This window comes from Homo sapiens, chromosome 8, assembly GCF_000001405.40.
Source record: "Homo sapiens chromosome 8, GRCh38.p14 Primary Assembly".
NCBI lineage: Eukaryota > Metazoa > Chordata > Mammalia > Primates > Hominidae > Homo > Homo sapiens.
In genome coordinates, this window is record NC_000008.11 from 83,577,392 (window position 1) to 83,588,898 (window position 11,507).

At 34.0% G+C, this 11,507-nt stretch overlaps 1 annotated feature.

Moving 5' to 3' along the window:
* Positions 235-1,434: an enhancer, noted in NCBI's record as "CDK7 strongly-dependent group 2 enhancer chr8:84489861-84491060 (GRCh37/hg19 assembly coordinates)". NCBI's record gives its function as "activates an origin of replication core promoter dependent on BRD2, BRD4, P300/CBP, MED14 and CDK7 cofactors, with strong dependence on CDK7, by STARR-seq in HCT116 cells {active_cell/tissue: HCT116}" and the evidence as "EXISTENCE:reporter gene assay evidence [ECO:0000049][PMID:35650434]".

Here is an 11,507-nt window from a genome sequence, read left to right on the forward strand (position 1 = left end):
TTGAATTGGCAAGTTTAACATTATTTTTACTAGAATGGATATTATGAGTAGAAAAAAAGAATAAAAGTTGGAACGGATGGGTAATGGTGAAGACAATAAAATACCAAGTGTCAAATATAATCACACTGATTGTATATGCATAATCCCAAAGACTAAACTAAAATTAATACCAAAACCAAAGCCAAAGTTAAAGGCAAAGCCCAAGAGCTGAAGAACTCAGGAAAAAAAGAGAATAATTAACTAAATCCATAGGCCTAGATAATTATTTAATTATTCTGTAATATTCTTTTGAATAACTAGGAAAAGTCCATATAGTTTTAATAAAAAAGACAAATATTACGTGCTAAGAGAAGGGGTCACAGAGAATAAGATCACCCGAAATTAGCTAAATGTTTAGTGAGTGCAATACTACAATGCATTTCTGATGCTAACTATTGAATACCTAGAGTTAGCACAGACTTCACAGGGTTAAGAACAGAGTTCTCATCAAAACTGCTGCACAACAACCACAAGTTCAGGGTTTCCCAGGCCATTTGCACTTCTGATGAACTGGCTACAAATTCAAGGATTCCGTGACCCCTTGAGGTTTGATAATGCGCTGAAATGACTGACAGAACTCAGGAAAGCAATGTACTTACAATTATAATTTTATCATAAAGGATACAAAGCAGGACCAGCCAAATGAAGAGATGCATGAGACACATAGGGCAAGATGTGAAAGGGTCACAGACATGGGGCATCCATGCCCTTTACCCATAGAGTCAGGACGTATCACCCACCCTTCAAACCAATATTGAGTTCATCAACCAGGAATCTTACCCAACCCTCGGTGTCCAGAGTTTTAGTAGAGTTTCATTACATAGGCATGATTAATTGAATCATTAGTCATATTATCGAAATCTCCAGCCTCACTCCCTTCCCGAAAGGTCAAGAGGTTGGACTAACATAATTTGGCTTAAATCATTAACCATTTAATCATATGGTTCATCTTTCCGTTGTGACCAGCCCCCATTCCAAGTCATCTTGTTGGCACAAACTCAGGGATGCTGCAGGGCCTGCTTTGGAATATCAAAGACACTTGTATCACTTAGGACATTATAAGGTTTTAAAAGGGTCTCTTTAGAAACCAGGAATAAAATAAAACAGATTCTTTATTATATAACAGTGAAATAGTAGGGGAGCAAGAAGAGATGAGAAAGGAAAGAGTCTCTGTGCTATGTTCTCATTTCATTTCACAGTATTTAAAAATGCAGCATCCTATATGGCAAGTTCAGATACTTGAAATTATGCTGTAGATAATAGGCAGCTGATAGTAGTTTCTAAGTAGAATAGTCATATGATTAGTATATGTCTTCAGGAGGATATTGGGTAAGAGTCTGGAAGTTGGATTAGATAGGGAGATTAGTGACATATCTTCAAGTTAGTAGAATATCATCAGAATTAAGGTGAGATAAAAAAGACACTATCAAGGGTCATCAAAAGAAGAGGCTAAATAACAGGGACATTTAAGATATAGAATTAGAGATTCAGGAAGATGCAATGCTTTAAGGATTCTTCTTTTTTTTTTTTTGAGATGGAGTCTTGCTCTGTCGCCCAGGCTGGAGTGCAGTGGCACAATCTCAGCTCACTGAAAGCTCTGCCTCCCAGGTTCACGCCATTCTCCTGCCTCAGCCTCCCGAGTAGCTTGGACAACAGGCGCCCGCCACCACGCCTGGCTAATTTTTTTGTATTTTTAGTAAAGACGGGGTTTCACCGTGTTAGCCAGGATGGTCTCGATCTCCTGACCTCGTGATCCACCTGCCTCGGCCTCCCAAAGTGCTGCGATTACAGGCATGAGCCACCACGACTAGCCTTAAGGATGCTTCTGAGCTTTCTAGCTTGAGAACAGTTTGATCTTACATCAATGTGTAGGTTTGTGCTGAAAATAATTTATGCATAGGCCAGAGAAAAATATTTATTTTATAAGTATTTGGAAAAAAGTTAAACGTGCTGCATTACTGATTTTGAAAATAGATGTTTGAGTTTAACCTGACAAAAAGGGTTATACATTTGCCCTTTTTGTATGTACATTACACATACATGACAGTACACGTGACAATGAGTTTCATTTCCTATCTGCATGATCAGGACACTGCAGCAGGAGCCTCCTTTTGGCATTTATGTATTATGTTCTGAAAGTTTTAAGTTCTCACTATTTCCAGGCTCTGTAGAGTGACAGGCTTTAAGGGTGAAAGAAAATTATATGCCAAATACAAGGGATCAATGGAAACATGATACAATCTTTATTTGAGCAGGACTGTAACATTATTTTTAGTTGTTTGTAGACAGGAAAGTGTTCCATAGGAAAGGTAATGGTGTTGCCCCTTAGAATTCTTTGAACAATAGCACCAACACTGCCTTGCAGAAGACGTAAAGATGGAAATTCTCCCTCAGGAGGCCAATCTAGGATTGGAATTGTTTTTGAGGAAACATTTGAGCCTTGTTTTCTATTTCAAAACTGTTAGGAACACAAATAACACCTTTAGCATATAACAGCTGTGAACCTCCATGCTGAGAATGAATGCATTATGCAGCTTCAAGAGTGTAAATATATGTTTATCAGGGATCAGTCCAAAACTGAGAATGTGCTAAGCTCCAGACAGCTGGCAAGAGCCCTGGGACAAAGGTTAAGATTTCCTTTAAAAATAAACTGATAGAAAATTGGTGGTGATGGTGGGTTTACCTAGCATTATATGCTTAAAAATATGCTGGCACCCTTACCAGCTAATGACACAAATGTAAGTGCAAATGAAATCAATGCTCTGTGCTTATTTTATTTCACAATAACTGAACTTCATGTAAGTAAAATACAAGAGAGTATATACGAGTAGCATTTTAACTCAAAAATCAATAATTTAAAAAATCATTTCTATAGAAAATGTCTTTATACCACAGAAGATATTTTTAGATGTCTTTTGCAAGGCTTTGTTTGTTCCCGAGATTTAAGCTACATTGTAAGAAACAACAATTCTTACTCAGAGGCTTCAATTCAAGTTTTCCCTCTGGAGATGGTTTTCAGGATACAGGCAACAAACAATGTCCAAGGCTTTCCTATGTTGTGTCTTCCCACCTTTTAATTTTGAGCCTTGATAACGCTGTGCTACTGTGTTGATTACCCATTCTCTTTAAACATTCTTTTCCAGGATTTTAAACCACACATTATAGCAATGTAGAATAAATGAAATTTTCAATACCAGTTCAATGATAGGTGTGATAGTATTAAACCCACTAGAAGTCATTTTTCATGATTTGTATTACATTTGGAAGCACTCTTCATTGCCACTACCTAAGCAAATTTTTATGTTAACCAAAATAGACACAAATAAAGGACAATCAAGTTTTTTTTCCCTGTGGTCTGCTATATCCCTGCATTTTATAAGTCTTATTTACTTATTTAGTTGTTCATTTTGAACAAAGTCCATACACATTAATAATTTTAGACCTACTTTGCTATATTTTACAATGATTTTCATATACTTAGAATTTGATATTTGATCATTAGTCATCACTTAACTTGTACATTAGAAGTTAAGAAAAACAACCTGAATCATGGGTCATAGGCTTCCTATATAGAACTGAAAGTTGAACAAGATTGTTTCTATTTTCTTTGGACATTAGCATTCGATTTTAATGTTTATTCCACTTTAGTGCTTTATTATTTGATTTAAATTTCCTGATGTTACCTAAGTACTTCATGCAAATTAGCATATAGTGCTTTTGTTTATGCTTTATTCACTTTACGAAATACCCTTTCCATCAGGAAGAAAATCCATTATGATCTAGATCAAACATCAACTATTTGCTGTGTGTTTCAATTTCACCATTCCTAACTTTTAATTTCTAACAATCAGTAAAGTTACATATGACATTACAAGAAGGAAAAGGAGCAAACATATTCTTACCTACTCAATACCTGTCTGTTTGGTGCATACTCTTTTTCTTGTAATATATTGGAGGTTAACAAAGCTTAATGCAGTTAGCTAACTTCTCCATGTGACACAGACAAGATGTTGAATGTCTAAAATGCAACTTAATAGAAAACAGAACAAGCTTATGCTCCTCATTTCTACAATAAGATAATTTTAATTTATGTCGCTAACTTGTAGTTTACTAGCTAAGCCTGATTTTTTCTTATGCCGTTTGCTGGTTAAAGGGTTATCCTACAAGTTTAACTCACTCCCTTTTCTCTCTAACTCTTGCTACTGGAAAAGTAAACTGATGTGGTACTTTCTTAGAGCATGGCAGTAGAGCTTTCCCATAAGGTCTTGTTTAGATCACCTTGGACACAGCAGATAAAAGTGTAATAAGATTTAGGCTTGAAATGAAGATTTTTTGTGGAAATATGGGGAAGATGTAAAAAGTCTCTTAGCTTTACAGCAAATATAATCCAGTCTCAAGGTTACTGGAGTTTTCTGCATTTCTATTTTGTATTGCTTGGAAGCAAAAATTTCCTTACTAATAAAATATAATGTTGATTTTTTTGTCAGTGTACCTTGTCTTTCTATCTCCCTTAAAAAAATTTAGAAGAAAAATTGATAGCAAGATAGAATTTGTGGATTTCTGCCTCAATTGGCCAAATGTTATCTAAAAGTCATTGAGCGCTATCCTTATTTCCAGTAGGCCTATTAATAATAACACCAAAAGGCACCCACCCAAATTTTGTGTTATACCCACTGTCAGGTTGTTGACGTCTTATTGATCTTAATATTCCCAGAATATAACATAGTAACTGACAGATAAATGCATGAATAAATGCAATTGAAATTGAACTCAAATAAACCTTATGTCAAAATTAATATATTTTGAAGCTATCATTTATTAAGTATATAAAGGAAGTATGTCTAACATAATGCAGTGTTGTTTATTGTGAAGACAGTCTTGTTTCCTTCAGGAAGGAGTGTTTAAATATTCTTTCCATTAGTAGTGAGGGTGAACTGAACCTTATACATTCTTTCCCTTGTTCTGCTTGTGGCCAGTTGCAATTATTTATGAAACATATGGGTAGAATAGGGTGTACAGTGTAAAGCCAGGGAACACAATGGCTGTCTTTGTATGATGCTTGCTGTCTCATATGGGGAATAAACCCCTGACCTTGGCCTCATTAACACCAAGCTCTAATGAGCTGAGATAATGGGTCCAGATTGTACACCAGCAGGTATCAAATCTAATTTAATTCAACCATTTATTCCTATTTTTTAGAACTGACTTTTTAGAGTGTGATATTCAAGTATACATACTTTCTAAGATTTCTAAAACAGTATATATTTGCTTTCTGGTGGTTGGACCTGAAAAATGAACATTACCCTTTTAATCCCTTCAAACTTATTCATTTCAAGTAGGCTATCGAATTGTTGCCATAAATAGTGTTTTCAGGTAGATATAATCCCATTACATATTTTGTGGTTAGCTGGTCAGGTGCCAACAGATACAAAAAAAAAGACAGATTCCTAACAATATATGAGGCAAGCAGACATGTTGGTTTGGGTAATGTAATTAACTTGAGAAGACAAAATACAATATTTAGTTTTTTTAGCCTTTCTCAGCTGCTCTCAGGCAGCATAAAACTCTAAAACTACTTGGTCCAAATCATTACCTTTCTCACTCAAGCAATTGATTATGTGAGTGTATACACACACACACACACACACACACACACACACACGTGTGCATGTATATATGTGTGTATATATATATACATATATATACACACACACACACACACACACATATATATATATATATATATATGCAGTCCAAGGATGCTGAACTATAGTAGCTTTTTGGTAAAACATGGAATATAGCCTGTGGCTTGTTTTTCTACACTTTATGGAAATGTTAGCCATGCCCATTTGTTTACCTATTGTCTATTGTTTATTTCGTGCTATGAAGGCAGAATCCAGTCCTTTAACAGGAACCTAATATTTAAAATGTTTAAGAGGGACAAAGTTTAAAATAGTTCCTATGTAGTCATTTACAAAAAAAGCTTGCTGAATGCTAACCTGGTCAGTTAATAGAATTTAATTGACCAAAAATTTAAGTTTTAACAGGCTGACTTATTTATCTCTATAATGAGAAGTAAACGGAAATGGAGTTCCAGGACCTCAGTGCCAGTTTTGCTTCCCAGATTGGTAATCATTCTATTTCTTTCAGTCTGAATTTCTTTATCAATAAATATATGGTATTGAGTTAGATATTCTCTAAAATGTATTCTTCACTCTAACTTTGTAATTTCAGTTTTTTAGAATTGTAAAAGAAAATTCTGAAATTATTCTAGAGTTTACTGATCTCCCCAAACTGTCACTGTCTCTCTGACTATCCAACTTTCACAATCTAGAGGGAGGGCTTGGGAATCATCACTAACATCCAACAGATAGAACAGATCTAGGGACCCAAGTACAACACTTCTAAAGTATGTTGTGAGGACTAGAGGAGCAACTTGGATGCACTAAACTGAATCTGGCATAATAATGGATGTGTATGACATAATACTAAGTTTTGCAAAACTCAGGTCTCCTTCACTATTATTAACCTTATGAAAAACTCATGTTCTTTAGTGATATCCATGGATGGTTCATGTTATCTTCATTTCCTCTAGACTGTCGCAGATGCTGCTTATTCTCCATGATAGAGATACAACTTTCCTTCTGTTAACTCTGTTGTTACAAAACTGCGATATTCCGTATCCTTCCTCATCATACATGACAACTGGCATTTGATGATGCAAGGGTATTTAAATGGGCCTCATCTCACCTAGATAGAAGCTATTTAGGGCCAATTATGGGCTCTTACTCTTACTGAAACTAAAATAGGAACTAGATGTTTTCCTTATTTCTTCTGTTGCTTCTTAACAATGGAATGATACATAAAATAATTGTGATGAGGGTGTAGGAATGCAAGAGTGAATGAGGAAGAAGATTTAGCAATATCATCTAATTGTATTTATTTTACCCCTTAAAAGAATTCTCATGGGACTCTGAATCTCCCATTAGCCTACATATGATTTTTACTACTTGAAGGGACCTAGAATATTAATAAAATGTTAACTATTGTTTGATAATTCAGCCACTGCAATTCATCTTGCAACATGTACTTTTTCATTTGGTGAGGATTAAAAACACATACAAAGGTCTTGTCTTTGTCTAGATATCCTCTTTTTTCTAACCTGTTCAAAATCATTAAAGTTTGTCTTTGCCTGAGCAAGGGCTAATGAGATTTAGCTGTGCAGAGATTTCAGGAGACCTGGTATAGGCATTCAACATTCAGGGCACTATTTCCAAACTATTAGAGATTCAACTGTGGAGTATACCTAGCATCCAATTGTGTGTACCAACCATGAATCAGCATTGTAAGCGTGGTGGCAGAACAATATGAACACTCTTTAAAAATCTTTAAACAGAGGAAGTAAAGCATTATGGGCAAAGTTTAAGTATAGTTTATACAGTTTCTGTCTTTCAACACCTTAAATTTCTGGTTGATTATGATTAAAGGATTTAAAGGGCAACCAAAGAGTCTGGCATAACATTAAATACATCCCAGAACACATAATTGTGACAGCATGCTAACATCATTGCTCATAAAAATTCATTTTGACATCACATTTATAGGTGAATAAATTATAACTAAAAATGTTTCATTAAATGAGTAAATTAATCTATTTGACCATTTGCTATTAAAAAATCCATCAATACAATTAGTTGATTTATTTTTCCTCATGACTAGATTAGGGTTTAAAAAGTTGAAAAATAACCCTAAATCAGGAGCTTGGCTTTTCTAGAATTTTCAGAGAAAGATCATAATATATGTATAAGATTGGCACATGTGTTTCAGATGCCACTTGACAGCCTAGAGTGAGCCTGTAAGCAGTAGCAATAAAGTTTAGGTAATAAGGAGAAGCATCAGCATAAAGTCTGCAAAAGCAACTTTTCAGAGAAAAATGGTAAGGAGGTGAGACTTGGAATTCTAAAGTGATAACAAAGCCATAGGGTAGAAGATTGGAATAGGAATAGACCAACTTCAGGAGAGGACCCAAGAGCCATGTAAACTTCAAAGGTGTCAAAGTAAAGCCAAAGATCAGGAGGGGAGATGGAAACAAAATGACAAACAAAAATTCACTATAAAAAAAGAAAGGCTTTACCTTTTATAAAGGAATTCACTTAAATATTTAATGAGTAATTTCATACTTATATTATTTAGGCTTGCAAAAAGTTTTAGGACAGTTCATGCAAAGTACATACCAGATGTCAGCCACAAGCTAGTAGGGACCTTGGATATTAACAAAAATTTTATATTTTATTTTTAACTTCAAACAAAGAAAATGTATTGATTCTTCCTCAAAAGCATGAAATACTTAACTGACTAGGATAAATCTGAGCCACCAGAATATAGGATGGCCAGTGATAATGCAGTTCTCTGACCTAGGTGTCAAAAACACATGAATGATTTCTTCAGTGTGCCATCATTAAAATTACTTAGATCCACACTTCTTCATTCTTATGTAATGTGAGATTTAAATTCTCTAAATAAAACTTTATATTGGTCTACTTTATGTCTTATGCCCATTCTATGACTAACAGGTTCACTGACATTTCATAAAATGAAATGAAAAAATAAGTGCTGTACCTTATGGGAAAGTTAGGATGATATTATGAAAAGGAGGAAAGAATTGAAGGTTGCCAGAAGAAGAAATACAAAAGATAAAGTAACTTTGTATTAAGATAACTTTACAGTATAATCAGAATTTTCTGCAGCACTTAAACTACTTGTAATTCAGCCTCATAGCACACCCAAAAGATTCGAAGAACAAAAGAAGCACATTTCTGCATAACCCTATCTGAAAGAGCAAATTTATAGCTCTGGTTTATTATAGAGGAGAAGATTAATTATAGAGACAACAGAAAACAGTTTCAAATTCCAATTATGAAACTATCACAATGAATTTTTTCCTGGTATGCTGTTGCCACAGTCACTAAAAATCTATGTTTGCTTTCCTCTCCTCCATTTTATCCTATATTTAACATTCAAATAGAGCCCTCCTGCTTTTGAATGTAGCATCCTTCATAAGGTACAATTTTTGAGACATTTCTAGCTAAGAAAATTTTATGCAAAGCCACAGGAAGTAACATGATGCCACGAAAGGGCACTGGATAAGGAGGTGAGGAAGCATGGAGAGTAAGCTGTCTATCTTTGTACATAAATCCTATATGCATTAAGTTGACAACCCATTATAGAGCCGTCTATCCATTCTGGAATGCATAGAAACCTTGGCAAAGTATTTTGGTTTGCCAATTTTTGGCACTTGAAGCCATTTCCCATTGTTCTCACTCTAGCGTTTCTAGATTGAATGATGGTAATTATCAAAATATATCAAAAATTCTCCTAAACGATAAAGGACAGTGTTGGGATGTGAGTGTGTACATAGGTGTGTGTAGACAGGGTATGTTTGAGAAATGATGAAAATTAGTGATTCAATCCTCTAGCAATATGGCCTATATTTTACAACAAACATACATATATATATATATATAAATATGTAAGATTGGGTCTCCCAAGAGTGATGCATAACTATCTTCATTTTAGTTTGGCTGATTTTCCTAAATATAAATAATTTTGGCAAATTTCAGTAAAAAAAAATGCTTCATTAAATACATAGTTTATTTAATAATCAGAGCAACTACCTGTATACTTAATTATATCCATTATTTAATAGAAAATTATTTCTCTTTCCTTTACAAATATAAGCTGCTTTACTCTCACTTTGCATTTTACTTCTTAGTGCCTTTTAATACACACATTTTCTTATTTCAGTTAATACTAAAAGATACAAATTAACAAAGGCTGCTTAATTTTCCTTTGTTTGTTCTTATTTAGACAAGCCAACTCCATGATCCCTTAATACTCTGTGTCACAAGTAGGGAAAGCTTATTAAGCTGATGTTACTGATATTTTACATTTTAGAATAATCTCTAGAGCCAAGAAAAACTAAAGTGTTAATGTAATTAAGTTATTAATTTCAAGTCCAAATATTTTACTACACTATAGTAAGTCCTGCTTATTAAGTAGGTAGCACATATGGAGAAAATAAACCTCTAGGTTTATTCTAGAGAATCCTTCATTCTACGGTTCTCCAGAATTCTACTTGGCCTTTTTTACTTTGATAATCAAAATATTAGAATAGGTAAGAATGATTATACCTATGTTGTTATAATTGGGGTGGCTTAATAATTAGAAATTTCATAATATTTATAAATATGATAAAATAATTATTAAGTGTTCTAGAAATAAGACACACACTCTGAAATGGCAAATACATATGCACACATACACAAACATATGCTCATAATGTATTATCTACTATTTACATGTTTACTATGCAGTCTGATACCAATTTCCTAACTGCTACAATCAGTTGTTTATTTGAGGAATGAATGTGGTGTTCAAGGCTGTATTCTCTTTAAGATTATGAAAATTCTAATTTATGAGATCTATCATATTCTGGACTAAACTCTCTGCCCTGACTTCTCTGAGGTTATTTGGCTTCTTCTTTTTTTAAGTACTGAATGTGAATTGCTGGGCCTTTTTTTGCCTTTTTTATATTCACCCATAAAACAAACCTTATTATTTATGATGTTGAAGCTTCTGACTCTGTAACCTGTTTTCAAGTAATTTCTGGCACTGAACTATTTTTAGCATGATAAGTATTTTAAACCTTGTCTAAAAGTAAGAATCGGAATGTGTTTTAGATCCAAACAAAAAGCAAATCATTTTAACACCTGGAGGAGGCTACAGTGATCAATGTAATAATTGATTAGAATTGGGGATATTAACACAAACTCACGTTAGCTTAATATAGATACAGGTGGTTATTTATAAAAGTGTGTGTGTGTGTCTGTACATGGGTTAGTATAAATACATATATATATTTTTGCTCAGTCAGTTTAGAGATACTAAAAGAAACAATGCCCCTATGCAACAGCACACCAGGCACAACTTTATTGGTTCCTAATGCCATTCTCCAATAAAAGCAACCAAGGATCCTTGGAGAAACAGCTAATTCTAGGACATGGTAGAAGATCCTGAGGCATTTTATAGTGTTAGAAATAAGGAGTGCTCAACACACACACACACACACACACACACACACGCACACTTATGAGATCAAAGGCCCATAGGAGGCAACTGGAGAAGCTCCCATTTGCCAAAACTGTAACAAGGTGAGCAACAGAGTAGTATTGGATTATAATCCAAATTATATAGTAATACTCAGTAGTATTGGATTATAATCCAAATTATATAGTAATAGTAGTATTGGATTATAATCCAAATTATATAGTAAATAAATATCCATGAATCTATACTGATATAAATATATGATTGGATAACTAAATGTAGAGAATAGACAAATCTGTCACACAGTAGAATTTCAAATAATTATGTAAATAAGCTTTGTGATGGTTAATTTTGTGTGCCAC